General features: G+C 41.1%; 1 protein-coding gene and 1 pseudogene across 8 annotated transcripts in view; both read right to left on the bottom strand.

Annotated features, from left to right (window-relative positions):
• Nucleotides 1-23636, bottom strand: part of CDH13 (cadherin 13) — a 1173672-nt gene that overhangs the window by 937925 nt on the left and 212111 nt on the right. For all 8 annotated transcript variants that reach the window (NM_001220488.2, NM_001257.5, NM_001220489.2 and 5 more), the window contains one exon: nt 4243-4354. In NM_001220488.2, the coding sequence (NP_001207417.1) occupies nt 4243-4354 (112 nt within the window). The remainder of the gene's footprint in view (nt 1-4242; nt 4355-23636) is intronic.
• RN7SL134P (RNA, 7SL, cytoplasmic 134, pseudogene) lies at nt 17959-18261 on the bottom strand (annotated as a pseudogene).

Below are 23636 nucleotides of genomic sequence, written 5' to 3'. Positions count from 1 at the left end.
TTGTTAATGCAGGTTCTTTCCTAAACATGTGATGCAAGTTGTATTGTAGGTAAATTCAGATGCTGTGATTTCTGTCTCTACCTATGTGTCTATGTTTGCATGTGGGTGGCCTAAGAGGAATGACCCATAAAGAATGAACAAGGGTAAGAAAAAAAAGTACAGTTCTAATGGTGGCTATGTGGCCAATGAGGATCTTCTTTCTGGACACCAAAGACTGCACTCATCCCCTGCTAATAGAGGCTGGAGGTCAAGGGTATGGTTTCTCCTAATGAGCTCAATGACCACACATTTTTCCATTTGCTGGAAAAAATCTGTCTGAGCTGATGGTATCAAAGCAGACTATCCTGTTTTATAATTTTGCAGAACATAGGATAGTCAGATTTTATCACTTGGGATCTTCCCATCCCAGCTGGGTGGCTGGTCAGTTGCCCAAGACAGCTATTCTTCTAAGACTGGGGATCTTCTGTTCTGGGTGTCATGATGTAACCAGGGTTGCTGTCCAATTCTGGTGGTACTAAGATGTCAGCTCCCAGATCACACAATTGTCGTGTTTGGGGAAAAGCAAGATCTACCATGCTGGGCAATTTGAGGGAGATATGGGTGCCAGGCCTCCAGAAAACACCTCCCACAAACTTTTCACAGATTCCTTTCAGAATTCAAAGACCTTAAATGGATGCCTCCTTTCTGAGTGGTTGCCTTCTAAGCTGACTTCTCCTTTCTTCTTGTATTTTTCATTGACAAATGGGAAGAATCACATTTTCCCAGATAAACTTTCAAGACTGAGATGAAGCCAAGGAAGTTTTACCCAAGTTTCCCTGAGTTGGGAGCTTTGCATCACTCTCTGAAAGATGCAGTGAAGAGCCCACTGGTTACGTTAGAAGAAATAGCTGAATGCTATGTTTTGGTCCCAGCATATTGTTGAAAAATGGCGTTTTTAAGACAAAAGCAAGTCCAGTTAGTGGAAAGGAGAGTAGAATAAAGAGTGATTCAGATGTGAAGCAAATAAAAGGCTTCAGAACAACTGAGAGAAAGATGTATCAGAGATAACAGTGAATAAAATATTAGGGAAATAAAAGGAGTGGAGGTGACCATTAGTAACAGTTAAAGTAGAAAAAGATAAGTCATTGAAAATTGAGGAGGAAGATGAAAAAGGATAAAAGGAAATATTACTGTCTGAACAAAGATAGCAGGAAGCCATCCACAGAATAAACATTCCCCATAACCTGCTAAAAGCTGAACACACAATTGGATGAACACAAGTCTAGGGTAGGGGTAGATATACTATGTCTGTCAGGCAAAGAGACAGCACTTTCAGACAACTTTAAAGAAAAGTGAAGAGTGTAGACATCAATTGATTGATTATGCTGTGTTTACACCCCCTGCAACACAAAAGTTCACAATGATTGGTAACCAAAGCTCTTAAATATTGCAAAGATAAAGGAAAAATATGAAGTGCAAATGTCATGAGTAGGGCACAAGATGATGCTACTAATCTAGTTTTCTCACTGTGTACAACACTGACCTATATTTATATGAGACTAAAACATCCCTAACCATTTCCTGGATCTTTGGTATACAATGATTCAGGAAATGGAATCTATGCATTTAACATTTTCTGGTTCTGTTTGGTTCTTTTCGTTTTTCATTCAGATTTAGCCTTGTGCCAGTAGAGTCTTCAATTTGATAGCACACTTCACTCATTGGTTTCTTGATTAATCACGTTTTTCAGAGACAGAAGGTTTTTGTTTTGCATTATAAGAAATACGCAAAATAAACTGAGAATGAGAGAGAGGGGAGAGTGAGACTGGCTTAAAATATTGGTTGGTTAGGTATAAAAGTTTATTCAATTGAACCGCTACTTGCAAGTGGAATAAAGCAAAGCACTGCTACTACTTCTAGAAATCCAGAGTTTCCTAAACTATTTTCAATAGGCATTCTCAAGTCTATGACAATTTTCTTCCTCATTTAGGCACCATTAACCTTATCTGCAGGCTCTATACTCATAATATGTTCATTGCTTTGAGATGAACTTGAAAGTACCTAACCAGATCTGCTTTGGATTTTTTTTTTTTACCTTAGTAATATACATGGACATACGGTTTCACCAAGAGGGGCTAATCAAATTTTGCTGACCCAACAACTCATATACAAGCATAAAAATTTAAGTGTCCTCAATTCTCATATCACTGACTTTTTCTGAATGTGTTATCATTGATAATGAACCTAGTCCCATTTAGCATTTACTAGCTTACCCAGAAGCAACAACCATAACCCACTTAATTACTTAGGGGATTAAAGCACACACGCACACCGCCGCCCCCCCCCCCACACACACACACACAACTGTGATACTGCAATGTACAGTATGGCTTACTTTAAATTAAAAAGATCCCCCCAAAGTATGATTGTTTCCAGCTTCTCAGCAGCGAATTAAAAACTGTTTGCTATCGTGAAGATTACAGAAGCAATCACATTTATAGGTCTACTTTGCATACCAACTCTATTAATTTCCATACTCAGGGTCGCTTCGCATTTCCAAGCATGTTAACATAGATGCCATTTGGGATAATCACTTGGAAAAAAAATAAAAGGAAGACAGAGGAAGAGAGGAGAGGAGAGCCAGAAAAATGGTTCTCACAAATCAAGTTCTGTTTGAAATATATTGATTCTGATAAATACAAAAATGAAAAGACAAAGGAGGGTTCCTAATGGCCTGACCCAGGAGTCACACTCAGAGATCAAATGAGCAGGAAATCACATATTGGAATTCACTTATTGTGCCAGCCCTGCACCTTGTCATTACAGACTAATTATTGAAATGATTTCATTGGCGTCATTTCATCGGGAGGTGCACGGGCTTCACCTTGGACAGCTCCCTTGATGCTCAACAGTGCATCTTCATTATTGTGTTCCTTTCGACTCTTAGAGTGTGTCCCAGCCTCACAGAATAATCCAGTCAAGTGTGCTTTTTTTTTTTTTTCTTGTCTTTCCTTTAAACTTGTCAGCCACATAGCATAGGACTAAAGGAACTTAGCTAGCGTGGAACGTAAACCTGAGACCATAAGAGCCAATGTGGAATCACCTTCCTTGAAAAGACCTTGGAGCGTATGATCAGCTTATTTTAATTTTCTTCTTCTTCTTTTTTTTTTTTCTTTTTTGAGACACAGTCTCGCTCTGTCACCCAGGTTGGAGTGCAATGGTATGATCTCGGCTCACTGCAGCCTCCACCTCCTGGGTTAAAGCGATTCTTCTGCCGCAGCCTCCCGCGTAGCTGGGACTATAGGCATATGCCACCATGCCCAGCTAAGTTTTGTAACTTTAGTAGAGATGGGGTTTCACCAGGTTGCCCAGACTGGTCTTGAACTTCTGGCCTCAAGCCATCCATCCTCCTCGGCCTCCCAAAGTGGTGAGATTACAGGCATGAGCCATCACACCCGACTGCATCTGATCAGTTTAGATCAGTTGTTTCCATATTCTTCATTTCCAGTTGTTAAGCAAGGTACTCAAGAGCCTACAATGAAATAGCTATTTGTCTACCACCAATTTTAAATTCTATTGCACTAAAACTGTACTTGTTATGCATTTAGCAATGTACCCTAACACTTCTTAAAGATAAAGCAATATAATATTGACATTAAAAACAAAAAGAGATCATCACCACAGATATGAAAGATGCATATTTTAAATAAATCAATTGGAATTCAGGATGAGTTGAGCTTAATCCATAGAATAATCAGTAGAGGTTTTGAATCTTTCTAAAACCCATCTTATTAGCCTTAAGAATAAGAGTTTTTGATGTCTGTGTCTAAAAATTCCCAGAAGCCAATGTCATACTCTCACCATTATTTTGATCTAATGCTATGTATGAGAAACTACAGGTAGAACAGCAATCTGCGAGAAGGCAATGATTTTGATTTTGGGGATCTGCCCAGGGGAAATGAATTTCATTTCCTTTGCACAGTGTACAACTCTCATTGGAGGCTGACAGCCCCCTTTTCTGACAGCAGTATGGAGATACCCACTGATGATAAAATACTAAAAAGAGATGCATATCACTCTATTAACCTCTAAGTTGGCCAGGCCCTCATTCAAGAATTTCCACTTTGGGTCAAGCAGTGACATAAGAAAAATAATCAGAAAACACTTAGTTTAGGAAATACCACATCCTGAGACACAGTCATAAACATTAGTAAATTCAAATATGAGAAGAGTCTAAAAGCATCTTTGAGTGACATTGCTTACAGTTTAGAATTGACTGGTCCTCAATGAATTCAGCTGGCTGATTGATATGGAACACTTTCTGCTGAAATCCAGGAGTGCAGTCCAAATCTTCTGCAGATGTTAGCAGCAGCACCTGAGAAAACCAAAGCCATCAATATTTTAATAGCGGCTTATGTGTTTGCCCTGCTAACTTTCGCCAAATCCGCAACTTTTAGAAACAAGCTGAGGTTTTGATTTCATTTCCCAAATGAAGAGGTAAGTTGAAACTTCTCCAGTGGCTGCCAACAATTCTTTTTGGCACTGAGATTTGGAGAATACGCAAATGGAACAGCTGCTGCAGTTTCCATTAAATTGCAGTTAAAGAAATAACTTCGTCAGATTTTTACACCTGCTAAGATTCTCACCATGGTTTCCATGTGTGAAATTTTATTACAGAAACTGTCAATTTTCCATGATGCCTAAGCTAAAACCAACTTCATTTTTATACAAGCAAAGAAGCATTGTCATCTATGAAGAGGAGGAAAGAGAAAATGGAACTATTCTGTTGGAATTTACTTCTAAAAGGAATCCAGGACCTGTTAAGCCTTCACTGTGGCCCAATATGGTGACCATGAACCACCGGTGGCTACTGAGTACTTTAACAGTCATAGGTCTGAAACTGACATGTTGTAAGTATAAAATACACACTGGATTTCAATGTCTAAATAAGGAAAAGAATGTAAAATAGTCAATAATTTCATATTAATTACATGTTGAAATGACAATATTTTACATATGAAATTAAATATATGTTATTAAAATTAATTTCACCAGTTTCTTATTCCTTTTGCAAACTTGGCTACTATAAAACTTAAAATTTACAATTGCTTTCAAAGGCACAGTTCTGTCTTTGCAGATGCTTAAGACACTTCATCCAGCGGTCAAAAATTTAGGTTACGTGATTTGGAACATAATGTATGAGATGTATACGATTCTCTCCTGGGCAAGGTGTGACTTAGTGAAATAAGAAATGGTCTTAAGGTTTAGTACGCAAAGGCTATAAGGCCATAAAAACAGGTATTACCTCCCCCCAACAACCAACCACTGGTTCTACTGAGCACCTACCACACATACTGGGACAGAGAAGAGGCTCCGTAACACTTAACAAATGAAAGCTACCATTTTTGAGCCCTTAGTATTTGGCCATTAATGTGCTAAACTCACCATATGCATCATCTCCACAGCAGGCCTATGAAATGTGTAATGTTATAAGGTATATTTTATAGAAGACGAACTCGAAATTCTAGAAAGGTTAACAAGCTTGCCCAAGATCATACAGTTGGAATGGGTGAAGCCAGCATCTGAATCTAGGTTCAAGTGTCCTCAAAGGAACTCTGTCAGAGTCCTACCCATTCCCCTCAGACCTTCTGTGTCAACGTGCAGGACTTTGCATTTTTTCTTCTTTGTACGAGATATGTCTCTAAAACTTGTGGAAGGGTATTTTATCTGAGCATAGTGCCAGAAGAGAGTGTTTGGAAATTAACATCCTGGGAGTGGTCCTTAACCAATAACTGATGGGGAATGGTATGTAAATATCCCAATTCCCTCACCCCTCTGGTGAGATCACTTGGAGATACGCATTTTGTCTCCCAGTTTCCACCTGGGATTGAGTGCCAAAGTCCACCAGAGAATCTAGCTTGATAACTCACATTCATTACCTGCCTTCTCTTCCCTGACTTATTTCCTCATTCCCTATTGGTATTTTTTCTATTTTTTTTGACTTTTAAAGTTTCCTTTTTTTTTTTTTTTTTTTTTTTTTTTTGAGACCGAGTCTTGCCATGTTGCCCAGGCTGGAGTGCAACTGTGGCTCACTGCAGACCCAACCTCCTGGGCTCAAGCGATCCTCCCACCTCAGCCTCCCAAGTAGCTGAGACTACAGGCACTCGTCACCAAGCCCAGCTAATTTTTCTATTTTTTGTACTGAGGAGGTTTCACTATGTTGCACAGGCTGCTCTCAAACTCCTGAGCTTAAGTGATCCACCCACCTCGACTTCCCAAAGTGCCAAGACTACAGGCGTGAGCCACTGCACCCAGCTAGTATTTTTCTTTTCTTTTCTTTTCTTTTCTTTTTTTTTTTTTTTGAGATGGAGTCTCTCTCTGTTGCCCAGGCTGGAGTGCAGTGGCATGATCTCTGCTCACTGCAAGCTCCGCCCCCAGCTTGACGCCATTCTCCCGCCTCAGCCTCCCGAGTAAGTGGGACTACAGGCGCCCGCCACCATACCCGGCTAATTTTTTCTATTTTTAGTAGAGACGGGGTTTCACAGTGTTCGCCAGGATGGTCTCGATCTGCTGACCTCGTGATCCACCCACCTCGGCCTCCCAAAGTGCTGGGATTACAGGTGTGAGCCACCGTGCCCGGCCCCAGCTAGTATTTTTCTTAAACCAATTTCTGCCATCACTCAAATTACTTGCACTCAAATCCTCGACTCTGTGTGTTTCTTAGAAAACAAAACTTCAATATCAGACCTCAAAATCCTAACCACTGCACACAGACAGTTGAAGAAAATTCATTATCATCCCCACCAGAGAACTCAAAGCAGTGTCAAAAGGTTGGAAGCTGTGGAACCAGGGCTTCTCTCTAAATACCAGCCCTCTGAAATGCACTGAACCCCAAAGAAGGGAGCAAGAATCAATCTCAGGAGGTTCACCGTGTGGCTGGCCTGAACAACATCAGAGAAATTGAAATGGGGGAGTCATCACCCTGACCAACATCATCTCCCTCAAATCAAAGTGAAAAGAACGCTGTGGTCTGGCATCTGTACGGTTCCGCTTGTGAATCATGGATTCCCTTGTCTTGAGAGCAGGCTCTGGTTAGATCGCTCTGGAAGCAATCAAAATGCTGGCATCCCAAGTGGCACATACACAGGATGCAGATCCAGGAGTCAGAAAAATCTGCTGGCAATTTTGCAAACAGAAAATCTATAACTGGCCAACATTAATTCAGTTAAATAGCAAATGGTCAAGGGTCTCCTCCATACACCCAGTGCCTACAATTATGCGTTAACCTTCCAATTGGCTAATTCTGCTCTCAGCTCCCAGACCAGGAAACTGGATATCCTGTAGGAAGTAAAGAAGGTGAAATTTCTCCCAGAATCCTCAGCATAAAAAGTCAGGACTGAGAGAAACCACAGTTAGTGATGAGAAACAGCACTCTGCAGGTGAGCTGTGTTCTCCATCTTTGTCTATGTGTGGCTCAATCTCTGAGATTACTTTGCAGGGCCCATTCAGGATTCCTCTACAGTTACAAAATAAAAAAAATAAATAAACCTTTTCCAGCTGCTGACTCTTAGGGAAGAGGGGAGCAGTAGGAGAAGCCCCAAAGGCACAGTTTTATCTTTACAAATTCTTGGGACACTTCACCTACCAGTCAAAATTAAAGTTAAATGATTTGTAACATAAAGGTACACAGTACCCTCCTGGGCCATGGGTGACTTAGTGAGGTAAGAATTAGTCAAATCATTCATTCATTCACTCACTCCTCATTCACAAATACCTATTAGACTCCTGGGATTCAGTGAGGACTTTGCTACACATTGTCCAAAGCAATGAGAAAGGTGCCACACAGGATAAGGAGTCAATAATTGTTAAATATAATTATGGTCTCAAAAAGAAAAGAGGCATTAACAAATCATAATTTAAGTGATTCACCAAGATTAAAATTTAACTGGAAAGGAAAATATAGATCTCTCTGGGAGCATGTAAAAGTTGGGGTATAGGGAAGTCTAACTTCATCTAGAGCATCAAGGAAAGCAAAACCACAAAAGAGACATTTCTGCTGGGATCTCAAAGATGATTACGAATTATCTGCATAAAGGGAGAAGAATGCAGACTCATCTTTTAAACCAGCACACTCTTCGCTTACACGTGAATTATTTTGTGGCTCTTTGAGTTTCATGTAACACATCACTGAAATTACAAAACTGCATTTAAAAATGATTCCAGGCTAATTTAGGACTTCCCCAAAAGCTAAATATCTTACTAGTCAATAATAGTAGAATGTTCTAGTTACTGCTATTGTCTTCTGATTTCTTTTTACTGTTTTTTTTTTTTTTTTTGAGACAGAGCCTTGCTCTGTCACCCAGGTTGGAGTGCAGTGGCACGATCTTGGCTCACTGCAAGCCCCGCCTCCTGGTTTCATGCCATTCTCCTGCCTCAGCCTCCCAAGTAGCTGTGACTGCAGGTGCCAGCCACCACGCCTAGCTAATTTTCTGTATTTTTTTAGTAGATACAGAGTTTCAACATGTTGGCCAGGGTGGTCTCGATATCCTGACCTCGTGATCCGCCTGCCTCGGCCTCCCAAAGTTCTAGGATTACAGGCATAAGCCACCAAGCCCAGCCTTGCCCTTTAATTTCTTAAGAGAATTCAAAACAGTATCTATGCTTGAACTTGCCACCGATATCCGCTCTTCAATTTCATTCACAGTAACTTTGGTAAGGGGATGGAAAGCAGTAAAGCAGCACCCCTCATTGCTGTAAGAATTAGAACTTGGACATTACTCCAAAACCAGGCAAGCCCTTTCTCCAATATTATGAGATGTCACATGCATAAAAATACTACCTGGACATAGTTTTCCCCAAATCCTCTGTAAATTTTCTAGAATATATGCTCTGAGCATCATTCCAAATTTATCTTTAATGCCACGGCAATCATAGTCTTACTCTATGACATGTTTGTCCATTTATGCATCAGTGAGTACCTAAGAAATGAGAGGTAACCAAGACACCTTTGAAAGCACAGCAATAATCAAATTCTATGATTAACAAAAGATTTCTATTATCTAAAAATTACCATCAGCCTGCTACAAAGATTCACGTTTCAGACGGACTATAAGCACAGGTTTAAGCCACGTTGGTTCAGTGTGAATCTCGTTTACCAGCGGGCTATCCTTGGGCAAGTAACCTTCTGTGTCTCAGTTTTCTAAGCTGAAAAGCAGGAGTAATGGTATCTCACCCGTTATGAGGATTAAGTGAGTTAATTATTGTAAAGAGCCTTAAGTAGTTCCTGGTACATAGTACTTGCTCAATAAATGCTTGCTATTATTATTTCTATGTATTATATTTAAATCCATATTCATGATTCACTGATATTCTCCAGGGTAGACATTGACAAACTATTACCAACATATTATTACTTTTGTTGTTACTAAAAAACTGTTCAGTGAATAGACTGTTTAGACTACATACAGGGACATAGCAGGGAATCAGACAGCAGAAGATCATGGGGTGTTTGCATCTCAGGATCAGCTGCACCATCAGAACATCAGTGCCTGATATGATTGAGTTGTGTTACCTCTGTAGGACACCAAGCATCCTTTAAAGTAGCAGCTCAGAGATCTCTCTTCCATGCAAGAGCCACTACCCTAAATGTATGCACAGAAAGCAAATTCTTAAATCACACTCTTTATACCAGGTTTTCTTTTTAGCTTCCATTTATTTGCTGTAGTACAGAACTTTCGTTCTTTCTTAAAAAGAAAGGGTTTTTTTTTATCCTGACAGGTACTGATTCAAGAATATACCCAACTTTGGAGTTTGCTTCCAGAGAAAGGATTTTTTCTTTTTCTCTCCCATACTGTAGGTTGCCAACTGGCAGCATAAGGGATGGATGTGGCCAGCAGATGTGGTTAGTTTAGCCAGAGAAGTCTGTCATCAAGTTAAATTGTCATGTTATGTAGAGTGCCCCTCTCCAAGCTTTCCTTCTCAGCACCACTCCCTGGTTCTTGTTTCTGCTCACTCAATTCAGTTAAACACTTGCTTGGACATCTAGGCATTCGAGTTGGCAACTTTTGCTTTAGATTTTGCAAATACCTTTTCAAGCTATAAGAACTGTCATTGAGATTAGTCTCTGGCTACTTCTCACAATAGGACATGGTGCTGCTGCTCCATTACAATTTTAGACATGTGACTAAGCACTGGCCAACAGAATAAGGGTGGAAGGATTCTCACGTCTTCTAGACATGGCCCCTGAATGTCCTGCATGATATCTTCTCTTCTCCTATCCATGGAAATAGGAAGGAAGGACTCCCAAGGTGGCAGAGTCATCCAATAGAAAGAGCCCAGAATCAGTCATTGCACAGAAGACAGTTACTCGGGAGAACCGCCCCACAAGACACATCCACGGAACGCTGTGCAAAGTCACTGAGATTTGGTGTTGTTTGTTGCAGCAGCTGATTGTACACTAAACATCCATGGAACAAGGGCAGAAAAGTCTTTGATACCACTGACATCACAGATATATCCCAGAGGCCAGTGAAAAATATCAGGACTGAAGAAAAACATGACACAACTGTCTCCAAAGCAGCCACAAATAAAGAGAGAAACTTCCTGCCACAAATAATTAATCTCACGAGGTTGAGAACACTCTCAGGTTCCATCCCCTCTTAAACCAGCTCCAAGAAGGTATTTTCCAAACCAACACCCCAGTGTCTCTGGGATCCTTTATGCTTTCCTCTCTCCAACTCTTTTTGCTTTCTTGTCATTAGTGTTGGTTGATAGTTACTTTATCCCTGCCATAAAACATCTCTGGTTTACTCTTGTTAAAGTCAGTGTATTGAGATCAATTTGGAGGGTCTTAGATTTGTGAGGAAGAAAGGATACTGCCTCTGACTTGCAGGATGTAAAAATATCGCAGCAGTGTATTTTGATTAATTCTTTATCCTCCCAGGGAGCACAAACCCAGAGTCCTGGAAGGGTTTACAAAGGCATACTGCCTACAGGGAAAGCATGGAGGAATGGAGCATTCCAGGACATGTGCATGCACACACACACACACACACACACACGTACACACATGTGCATGTACTCATGTCCACGCCCCTGCTGAGTCTGACCTCCTTAAAATGTTCCTGGTGTTTTACAGCCCCAGGAACACAGAAAACCTGACACGTTTCTGGTCATTAAGGTCACAGACACTTACAAATGGTTTTACAGTTCTTGGGGAGGTAAAAGGGGAGACTGCTTTTAGTTTCGTCGGTCCCATTGTTGCTTTCTTTTTTCTTTTTCTTTTTCTTTTTATTTTTTTTTTGAGACGAAATCTCACTCTGTCACCCAGGCTGGAGTGCAGAGGTGCAATCTTGGCTCACTGCACCCTCCGCCTCCAGGGTTCAAGCAATTCTCCAGACTCAGTCTCCCGAGTAGCTGGGATTACAGGCATCCGCCACTATGCCCAGCTAATTTTTTGTATTTTTAGTAGTGACGGGGTTTCACCATGTTGGCCAGGCTGGTCTCGAACTCCTGACCTTGCGATTCGCCCGCCTCAGCCTCCCAAAGGGCTAGGATTACAGGCATGAGCCACCGTACCTGGCCCTATTGTTGCTTTCACACAAAATTTGAACCAACATCCTAGACTTTATTTCTAAAAGATGCTACCCAACATATTCTCCTCAAACTGTAAACAGGGAAGCTGCATGTACAGGCATCCCTCGGAGATACTGCAGGTTCGGTTCCAGACCATAGCAATAAAACAAATATTACAATAAAGTGAGTCACATGAACTTTTTGGCTTCCCAGTGCATATAAAAGTTATGTTTATACTATAATGTAGCCTATTAAGTATGCAATAGCATTATTTCTAAAAACAATGTACATACCTTAATTTAAAAATACGTTTTTACTAAAAAATGCTAATGATCTCTGAGCCTTCAACAAGTGGTTGTCTTTTTGCTGGTGAGGGTCTTGCCTCCATTTTGGTGGCTGCTGAGTGATGAGGGTGGCGGTTGTGAAGGTTGGGGAGGCTGTGGCAATTTCTTAAAATAAGAAAACAACGAGGTTTGCCAATCTATCGACTCTTCCTTTCACGAATGATTTCTCTATAGCATGTGATGCTATTTGGTAGCATCTAACCCACAGGAGAACTTTTTTTTCAAAATAGAAAGCAGTCCTCTCAAACCCTGCTGCTGCTTTATCAACTAAGTTTAGGTACGATTCTAAATCCTTTATTGTCTTTTCAACAATGTTTACAGCATCTTCACCAGGATTAGATTCCATCTCAAGAAACCACTTTCTTAGCTCATCCATAAGAAGCAGCTCCTCATCCATTCACATTTTTATCATGAGCTTGCAGCAATTCACACACATATTCAAGCTCTGCTTCTAATTCTAGTTCTCTTGCTATTTCGACCACTTCTGCACTTCCTTCCTCCACTGAAGTCTTGAACCTCTCAAAATCATCCATGAGGATTGAAATCAACATCTTCTAAACTCCTGTTATTTTTGACATTTTAACCACCCCCCATGAATCACAAATGTTCTTAGTGGGCATCTAGAATGGTGAATCCTTTTCAGCAGGTTTTTGACTCATTTTGTCCTGATCCATCAGAGGAATCACAATCTTTAGAAGCTGTAGCCTTACAAAATGTATTTCTTTGATAGTAAGACTTGAAAGTCAATATTTCTTCTGGATTCACGGGCTGAAAAATGGAAATTATATTAGCAGGTGTGAAAACAACACTAATCTCCTTATATACCTCCATTAAAACTTTTGGATGTCCAGGTACATTGTCAATGAACAGTAAGATTTGAAGGGAATATAGTTTTCTGAGCAGCAGTTCTCAATAGTGGGCTTAAAATATTGAATAAATCATGTTGTAAACAGATGTACTGTCATCCAGGCTTTGTTGTTCCTTTTGTAGAGCACACGCAGAGTAGATTCAGCACAATTCTTAAGGGCCCTAAGATGTTTGCAATGGTGAATAAGCATTGGCTTCAACTTAAAGTCATCAGTTGCATTAGTCCCAGACAAAAGAGTTTGCTTGTCCTTTACTTCTTCTCTCTAGCTATGAAAGTCCTAGATGGGATCTTCATCCAGTATAAGAATGTTTTAACCATGTAGAAAATGTATTATTTAATGTATCCGCCTTCATCAATGATCTTAGCTAGATCTTCTGGATGACTTGCTGCAGCTTCTATATCAGCACTTCCTGCTTCACCTCACACTTTATTTTATTTATTTATTTTTTTGAGACGGAGTCTCACTCTGTCACCAGGCTGGAGTGCAGTGGTGTGATCTCAGCTCACTGAAACCTCCTACTCCCTGGTTCAACCGATTCTCCTGCCTTGGCCTCCCGAGTAGCTGGTATTACAGGTACGTGCCACCACACCCAGCTAATTTTTGTAGTTTTAGTAGAGACAGGGCTTCACCATGTTGACCAGGATGGTGTTGCTCTCCTGACCTCGTGATCCACCTGCTTTGGTCTCCGAAAGTGCTGGAATCACAGGTGTGAGCCACTGTGCTTGGCTTTCACCTGACACTTTTATGTTATAGGGATCGTTTCTTTACTTAAATGTCACACACTAACCTCTGCTAGCTTCCAACTTTTCTCCTGCAGCTTCTTCACCTCTCAGCCTTCAGAAAATTGAATAGAGTTAAGGCCTTGCTCAGGATTAGGCTTTGGTTTGAGGGAACGTTGCGGCTGGTTTGATCATCTATTCAGACCACTAAAACTTTCTCCATGTCAGCAATAAGGCTGTCTTACTTTCTTATCATTCATATGTTCAGTGGAGTAGCACCTTTAGTTTCCTTCAGGAACTCTTCCTTTGCATTCACAACTTTACTCTTTGGCACAAGAAACCTAGCTTTCAGCCTACCTCAGCTTTTGACATGCCTTCCTCACTTAGCTTAATCATTTCTAGGTTTGATTTAAAGAGAGAGACATGCAACTCCTCCTTTCTCTTGAACACTTAGAGGCAAAGAAAGTACTTTATTGTAGGCTTATTCATTGGCCTAACTTCAATATTGCTGTGTTTCAGGAAATAGGATGTTTGGAGGAGAAGGAGACAGATGAGTAAAGGGCCAGTTGGTGGAACAGTCAGAACACGCACTTATCAATTAAGTTTGGCATCTTATATGGGCACAGTTTGTGGTGCCTCCCCCCACCCAAAAAAAAAAAAATCACAATAGTAACATCAAAGGTCACTGATCAGACATCACCAAAATAGACAAAGTAATAATTTAAAAAAAGGAAAGAAACCGGGAGAATTATCAAAACATGAGACAGAGACACAAAGTGATCACATACTGTTGGAAAAACAGCACCCATAAACTTGCTCAGTGCAGAGTTGTCAAGGTGAAAGCTGATCCTACAAATTGGGTTATTCTTGTCATACCCAACTAAAGCAAAGTCAAGAAGCCAGGCAAAAACACACTAGGGACACAAAGCATTGCTCCAACAATGTAATTCTCTGCAAGCCTGGCTGCTGTAACCTGAACCCAGTTTTATCTATAGCTTCAAGATAATTTGCTGCAACTCCAGGACTAATTTTCTCACTGATGCCACTCACCAGCTGAAGCTTGCCAGCTTCCCAGAACCTTACTAGTGTCAATGAACTTTCTCAAAGAGCAATACATAACATTTTTCATTGTTACAAAACCTCCAACTTTCTCTTTGTTCTTTGAACATACCAAAGACTATTTAATCTGCATAAATGCCCCAAATTGCAAGTCTTTCTTCCCAAATGAAATGCTAAATTTAGAGATTCATCTCTACATTTTTATTTTGACTTCAACACCACAAATCTTCAATTTGTAAAACATACAGTATCTGTGAAGTACAAAAAAAAAAAAAAGTGAAGCACAAGAAAACAATAAAACAAGGAAAAGCATGGGGCAAAAAGCCAAAACTAACCTAAGTCCAAATTCTGGCTGTGTGGTGATTTCTCTGGCTTTTGGTAAATTAATTCAGAGTGAATGGCCTTCACATGCTCTTTGCTAGAGAAACGGTCACTGGGAAGCTTTAATGAGATAACGCAAACAGAATAGACAGTAGTCCCCTAAAGATGTCCTCACCCTACTCCCCAGGACCTGTGAATATGTTAGATTACATGGCAAAGGGTAATTAAGGTTGGGAATCAGCTAACATTAAAACAGCATGCTTATCCTGGATTATGTAATCACGTAAACCCAATGTAATCACAGGTATCTTTGAAAATGGAAGAAAGGATAAGAGAAAGAGATGTGATGATGAAGGTGAGGGCAGAGTGATATGTTATGAGATGAACTCAGCCCCACATTGCTGACTTTGAAGATGGAGGAAGGGGCCAGGAGTCAAGGAATGTGGGTGGCCCCTAGAAACTGGAGATGGCATAAAGGGAATTCTCCCCATGAGACTCCAGAAAAGAATGCATCGCTGCCAACACCTTGATTTTAGTCCAGTGAAGCCCATTTTGAACTTCTGACATTCAAAACTGTACAATACTATGTTCGTTTTAAATTGCTAAATTTGTGGTCATTTGTTACAGCAGCCATTGGGAACTAATGCAGTCTACTATAGCCTGGCCCCACAATAGACACTCAGAAAATATGGGTTCCCTTTACTTGGTATTTTAACATGTAAATATAATTTGGGAAAACCAATGAAGAGGGCAAAATAGAGGAGTTAGAAAGGAATAGGAGAGGGAATTTGAAGGCGAGGTGGGGAAGGAAGGGAGAATAAGGGAAGGTCATGGCTTTGGAATGCTTTGACAAGGCTGTCAGAGTCAGGATGTGGCAATGAGTGTCCTAAGTGCTCCTCTCCTTGGCATAAATAAGCATTGTCTCTCATTTTTTATTTTATTTTGTTTTATTTTATTTTTTGCTATTGTTTTAGTAATTGCCTCTTTCAAATTATGGGACATTTTGATCTGCCATTATGACAGCATCATCAGGTTCATTTTAAAATTGATTTTCTTAGTGAAAATTTAACATTTCTATTATCTGCCAGGCTCTGGCCTAGATACTAGAGATGGAAAAATGAATAAAACCCTTAAAAAACTTATTATCTAGAAGGAAAGACAGACACATGGACATATAATAAACTACAACCTATGTGACTATACATTGAGAATCAGTTAAAAAGTAGCTCAGAGTAAAGATTCGCAGGCTAGACTAACTGGGTCGAAATCTCAATTTTTCCAGTTAGTTTCTATGTGACCCTGAGCAAGTTACTTAAATTCTCTTTGCCTTAGTTTCCTCATCTGCAAAACACAACTAATAATTGTGTCTACTCCCATTGGTTGTATGAGTCAATGAGTAAACACAAATCAAATGTTTCAGGACAGAAACTGGCTCACAGTAGGTGTTATGTGCTAGTTATTATTTATATTGATAGCTGATATATATTTCTTATATAATAAGTATACATTAATATTATAGTTATATTAATATAGAGGGTATGTATAAAGTATTGTGGAAATAAAGAAGAAGGAACAACATGCTCTTTGGATGAAAATAAGGACTGGGACCATGTCACAGACAAGGACATATTAGAAAGATGATTGAAACTTTTCACATGACAACCTCTAAGAACAAAGGCTCCACGCAGAAGTTTGGTCAATGCAAACACCATAGCATGCCAGTTCAAGAAACAGGGAGCCATTTGGCAGAAATAAACTCTGGGTTGTTTTCCAGATTATTTGAAGGTGTTTTGTCTCAAAATAGGACTCATGCATGCCCTCCTTCAGTTTGGATAAAACAGAGCCAAGAACAATTCACTCAGTGAAATCACAATTTTTGTCTAAATGGAATTAACTCTTTACTATTAAGATTCCAGGATTAAGCCACTGGGCTCACTTGGAAAACTTAAAAGGAAAAATACAGTTTTGTAAGAATTTAAGTTACTACACTGGGAATGCCTGGCTTGCTGGCTGGCCCTTAGGAGAAACCAGAGGATGTGCCTGCTCAGGGTTGGTGGTATTTGCATCTATTTATGAATTTTTTGTAATTAAATTAGTGATGTCGAATGCCATATAATACCTGTTTCCCTTAAGTCAAACAAAGGAGCCCCTATATGAGGTACTCTTGGGTGGGCCTTAGTAGCCTCAGGGAGTTCAAATGAGAAAATAATGAATGCCTACCATGTGGCAGGCACTGGGAACCTTGTCTGGTCTACACCAAGAAACCTTGAATCCACAGAGACAAAAGATGGGAAACAGTAAATGAATAGGTCTGTCATCTGAGGGGTCAGCCCAATAGAGGATGATGCTGGTGGCTGCAGCCAATACCTCAGCCAACCTCTGATCTCAGTTGCTGCTGCGATGAGTTTCTAAAGAAGTCAGGCTTGCCCCTTAGAGTGCCCTCAGTCTCTTTGCATTCTGCTTTGGCTCTTTCTCCTACACTGCAGGAGCTTGGCTAATGTGAGGGAAAGCAGAGATGGGAAAGGAGGGGGAGTTAATGCTCCTATGGACAGCCCTCAGTGCATTGGAAATGACAGCTGGCTGAATGCTCCCACCTGCCTTCTTGCAGACAGACACGTCTGAGAGTCATTCCCTGTGCCTCTCGAGGTCCCTGTGCACTGGCCCCTGGCTGTCTACAGCAGTGAGCTCAAGGATTCCTTAATATATTGGTTCTCTCTCCTTTCCTGCCTTCTCATCCTTCCTTACTCCTGCTTCCTGGATCACCTCCCAAAGAAAACTACCTGTACCTGGTTCTCCTCTCAGGCTCTGATTTCAGGAAAACATGCCCGCGTGTATCAATTTCATAATGCTGCTGTAACAAAGTTCTAAAATCTGAGAGGCTTAAAAATACTTTATTGGCCAGGTGCGGTGCCTCACGCCTGTAATCCCAGCACTTTGGGGGACTGAGGCAGGCGGATCACAAAGTCAGGAGATCAAGACCATTCTGGCTAACGCGGTGAAATTCCATCTCCACTAAAGATACAAAAAAAAAATAAAAATAAAAATTAGCAGGGCTTGGTGGCGGGCGCCTGTAGTCCCAGATACTCAGGAGGCTGAGGCAGGAGAATAGCGTGAACCCGGGAGGCGGAGCTTACAGTGAGCCGAGATAGCATCACCGCACTCCAGCCTGGGTGACAGAGCGAGACTCTGTCTCAAAAAAAAAAAAAAAAAATACTTTATTACCTTATAGTTCTTTTTTTTTTCTTTTTCCGAGACAGAGTGTCACACTGTCGCCCAGGCTGGAGTGCAGTGGCGCGATCTCGGCTCACTGCAAACTCCGCCTCCCGGGTTCACGCCATTCTCCTGCCTCAGCCTCCCGAGTAGCTGGGACTACAGGCGCCCGCCACCACGCCCGGCTAATTTTTTGTATTTTTAGTAGAGAGGCGGTTTAACCATGTTAGCCAGGATGGTCTTGACCTCCTGACCTTGTGATCCGCCTGCCTCAGCCTCCCAGAGTTTTATTACCTTATAGTTCTAAAGTCTGAAGCCACAGGGCTGAACTCCTTCAGGAGAATGTGTTTTCTCCAGCTAGGTCATCTACATCCTTTAGTTCACAGCCTCCTTCTTCATTCAAGCCAGCAGCATGGCCTCTTCTCACCTGTTTTTCTCTGTCTCTCTTCCTTCATCACATCGTCTTCTGTTTCTAACTCTGGCTCCTCCTACTTCCCTTCTGTAAGCTTGTGATTACATCATACTCATCTGGGTCATACAGGTAACCTTGACACATTCTGAAAATGAGGATGTAGACTTATTACGGGACCATTACTCAGCCTACCACAGCCCATGAGAAGCTTACAAGAGGGAAAGGAAAGTTCTATAAGTACAGCTGTAGTCCAAAATATCCACGAGGGAGTCATTCCATGATCACCCACATTCCTGGCAATATTTACCTGTGAAATCAGGAAAGCCTAAACGAAGACCTCACTGATGGTGCATAGTCACAGAGCCAGGCCTGGTGTTGTGTCAATTGAACAATTAGACTATGAACTTTTGTTGCCTAGAAATAATTATCAGATCCTACCCGGCCTTGCTGTAAAGTGGAACATTTTATTCCAACTGTGCAGCTCTCAACACTTTCTTCTCTGCCAGACATTAGACAAGATGTCAGATTTGTCATCACATGGGAAGGTTTTTATTAATTATCTTTCAGAACCAAAGTCCTTTTTGTAATTTACTTTTTCACACCAGAAAAATTCTTCTATTGAACTAAAATGTCTATCTTGTTAAGCTTTTTTTTTCTGCTAAAGGTTCTCACTCTGAAAAGTTCTAGAAGAAAAGAAACAAATCAAGCACAAATTGGTGTGGAAAGCAAGGAACTGATTATGTTAAGCAGAATGCCACATATCTTCCCCTGGGTCGGAGTATATGAATACATGTCTTTTCTTTAAAATCTAACTGCCTGGTAGACAGTTAAGATGTTTCCCCAAATGTTCATACAAACATTTGACCATCCTGAATTAAAAGGAATTTGAACAACTGCTCACTGAATGCCAATTGGATGTATTCTGAAGGACTCATGCATTGATGCAAGTAACATCTACTGACTGCCTACTGTGTGTCAGTGCCAAGACAATATACACTAATTGTCAATATACACAAAAAGGCAAGGTCCCTATCTTCAAGAAACACAGAACATTATAGGAAAGACTGACATGCTGATACCTTCTTTGAAAACACAACTTAAAAAGTTTAAGGGTGGAGTTAGTAATCTAATACAAGGATGCCCAATCCCCAGGCCATGGATGGGTATCCATCTGCAGCCTTTTAGGAACCGGACCACATAGCAAGAGGTGAGTGGCGGGCCCATGAGTGGAGCTGCGTCTGTATTTATAGCTGCTCCCCAGCACTTGCATTACCACCTGAGCTCCACCTCTGTTAGACCAGCAATAACATTAGAGTCTTATAGGTGCTTTGTGAACCACACATGTAACGGATCTAGGTTGCATGCTCCTTCAGAAAATCTAATGCCTGATGATCTGTCACTGTCTCCCATCACCCTAGATGAGACTGTCTAGTTGCAGGAAAACAAGTTCAGGGCTCCCACTGATTCTACACTCTGGTGAGTTGTATAACTATTTCATTATATAAGGTAATAATAATAGAAATTAAGTGTACGATAAATGTAATGTGCTTGAATCATCCCCAAATCCTCCCCTCCCCCATGTCCCTGGTACATGGGAAAATTGTCTTCCATGAAACCAGTCCTAGTGCCAAAAAGTTGGGGACTTCTGACCTCATAGAAACAGCAAAATAGAGATTAGAATTAACTGAGTCCTCATGGAGGGGTGAGTAAGGTCACTGGAGAAAGCACTGTTCTGGACAACTCCCATTTAGCTGATTTTTGCCTGTGCACTCTTATATTTTAAACAAATAAAGAGTGGTACAGTGTGAAGAACTACAAATGAGGATAGGCCTTGAACTCCCAAGGACTTGAAATTCAAGGACTACCATCATTTGTAGTCCTTGAACTGTCTCTTCGGTGCAGCTACTGGTTACTACTCAGAAGGACTCAGATGTCTCAAGACTGAGCTACCCTGATGATTAAAAAATTCCTTGTCTTTGATAACAACTTTTTAAAAGGCAAGAATTTTTGAGAAGATAGGAATGTGTGTGTATACATATATGTGTATATATATGTGTGTGTGTGTATATATATATATATATATATATGTGTATATATATATATATATATATATATACATATATATATATATATATATGTAGAATGCAAGACTGGCTCAGATTTCAAGGGAGAAATACAGGGAGGGAGGGAATTCTTCTAGCAGTGAGGGGTACCCAAGGGCATCCTAGTGAGTGTTTAATGACCAGCTCCCCAAGAAATAAATGACTTGATTTCTGAGTTTTGACAATGTCCAGGGCATAAATGCTCCCATCATGGCTAATTTCAAGCTACTAATGTGAAATCACTGAATACGGAGTTGTGAAGAGCTGTGTACAACTGTCTTTCATGGGTTAAGCAGCTCCAGCACAGTAGGTATTCCAGTTCCTATTTCTAGATCATTTGGATTAAGAATGTTTCTGAATTTTTGTAGGACCTTCATGAACATAAACCATCATAACACTGTACCACAAAGTACAGCTTTGCTCTTTCCCAGAGTGAAATTTTGTAATAAGGGAAAGGGTTACACTATGTATGAGTTAAAACAGCCTGGAAAACCCTTCCAGTAATGGAACAAAATGGGCCACCACAATTTTGGTTTTATAGTAAGAGAAAATGCAATGAATCCTTAACCATGGCTGTGTGTTATTTAAATATTGCTTTTGATGTTTTATCTGGAGTCCTAGCTCAAATGATCAGAGATAATCCTGCCTCCTGACATAATTAGGGAGCTGCTGCTTTGCTAAACTACAGGATAATCAATTTGACCTTGAAAGTTTGTCTATAGTGCCATAGTACTGTTCAGAACACAGACTTTTCAGCCACACTAGTATCTCCCATGATAGTTAAACACCAGCCACAGGCTTTGTTCCAAGGGCAAGCAAGCACTAACAGAGAGGCTGCAAAAAATCATGGCTGGCACGTCCCATATGGCCACTGTATCTGCTAGATGGCCTTTAGCTTGCAGAGGCTGCCATTCAAATATCAGGGATTTTCACCGAGCATCTGGATTTGGGACAGCTTTGAGCTTGGAGTCAAACAGGGCAACACTCCGTGGATGGTAAGGTTGACCTCCTGATGGACAGGCCTCATTTCTAGATGTCCACAGGCCATGCATCCCATGTGTCCCCAGCAAGTACCATTTGCCTTCTGTCATCACAGTTGCACTGCTGTTTGCCTCATAGTCAACTAAAAGTGATTTTTGGTTTGTACTTATGTCTTCATACAGACTTTTCTTCTACCCAAGCCTCCTCACTCATTGACACTAACTTTCTGACCTTGCCAAGCACCTGAGTTTCCACTCTTCATCTACCAACACTCATAGGAAAAGAGTCTTCCTTGAACAGCTGCAGAGAAGTCATTTGTGTTACAATGAAACGGCCAACACCATTAAAATGTCTCCAGTATCTCCTTAAAGCAGCTTCCATATTTACTGTCATCTAGATCCTGGGAACCTGAATTAGCCTGCTCCATTATGCAAGTTTTTTTCTTTTTTTTTTTTTTTTTTGAGATGGATTCTCACTCCATCACCCAGGCTGCAGTGCAGTGGGGTGGTCTCAGCTCACTGCAACCTCCGCCTCCCTAGTTTAAGCGATTCTCCTGCCTCAGCCACCCAAGTAGCTGGGGTTACAGGCACGTGCCACCATACCTGGCTGTTTCTTTCGTGTTTTTAGTAGAGACGAGGTTTCACCATGTTGGTCAGGCTGGTCTCAAAGTCCTGACCTCAAATGATCTGTCCACCTGGGCCTCCCAAAGTGCTGGGATTACAGGTGTGAGCCACTGCACCCGGCCAAGTTTTTTTTTTTTTTTCCTTTTCAGAGCATCAGGCCCTCCCTCTTTAGCCCACTTGTTTGAAGGCAGAGACATTTTAGGGCAATAAAGGTGGCTTCATGCTGGTCTCCTCAGACTAAGGACATCGCCCTCCTCAGCTTCACCACAGTATCAAAACATTACCCTCTTCTCTAACCTGCTAAACCTGCTTGCCACTAAAAGCAAACAAAATCGGTGTATCTGAATACAGATTCAGTCATAAGCCCTCCTATTATCATTATAGCGTTAACTTTCATTGTGGGGAAGGTGGTCTCTTCTCCTCATCAAGCAAACCTTTGTCAGGTTTTGAACTAAAAAGGAAAAAATCATCTGAGCTGAAATAGTTTGAAGGAACATAACTTTTTCTTCTCATGTCTGTTTGAGTCCAGAAGTTCAATTACTTGAAATTTCATGAGTCAGTCCTTTGGATATTTTCAACCCAAGCTGGATTAATGTAATATTTCAAAGTGTCTGCTAATCCTACTGCTCTTTCAAAGTAAGTCTGATTTTTCTTATGGAAAAATAGCATACCTCTCCTGTACTACAATTTGGAAGAAAAGGGATCATCTTCAAAAATTATGCAGTATAAAATATGATAATGTGAAGAGCCTCTACAGTAGGCTGGGGGACTACACTAGAGTCTCCTTGGCTTGTCAAACATCAGCTACAGACTTTGTTCCAAGGGCAAATAAGCCCTAGCAGAGAGGTGCACATGGCGATGGCCACAGACCCCATCTGGCCACTGTATTTAGTCACTGGCCAGCAAAGCCGTTATCCAAGTTGGGGGTACTGAGGGCCAGAATGAAGGTAATTGGAGCAGGGCCAAGGGAGGAGACAGGGCTGGGTTCCAGTTAGGGAGATTAATCCTCCTGATTTACTGGGACTGTCTAGGTTTCGGTTTTAGAGGTCCCATATCCCAGGAAACCCTGCACTGCCAGGTATCTTAATCCCAGCAGGAAATTGATGGCACACGCAAATTGAGCTATGTGACAAGAGATGGACGCAGGAACCAGCAAAAGTACAGTCAGAGTCAAGGAAAAGGGGCCCACAGCATAAAGCAACATGCCAGTAATAATGGGGCACCTTTCCCACATCTAAGCCTAGAGGGCCAGGGGAGGAAACAATTTCCAGACCCAAAAGACGCGGCCACATGGAGGGGGCTCCCTGAGAAGAACTGTAACCCCCAATGGAAGGACAGAGCAGCCTGCAAAGATTTATTCTCCTCTCTCCCTCTGAGTTCTTGTCCCAATCCTCCACTGGCTAAACCATTGATTGGCAAACCAAAGCCCACGGGCCACATCTT

The sequence above is a fragment of the Homo sapiens genome, chromosome 16 (assembly GCF_000001405.40).
Source record: "Homo sapiens chromosome 16, GRCh38.p14 Primary Assembly".
Classification (NCBI taxonomy): Eukaryota; Metazoa; Chordata; class Mammalia; order Primates; family Hominidae; genus Homo; species Homo sapiens.
The sequence above is the reverse complement of the archived record's forward strand: the minus strand, read 5'-3'. Positions and strand labels throughout refer to the sequence as shown.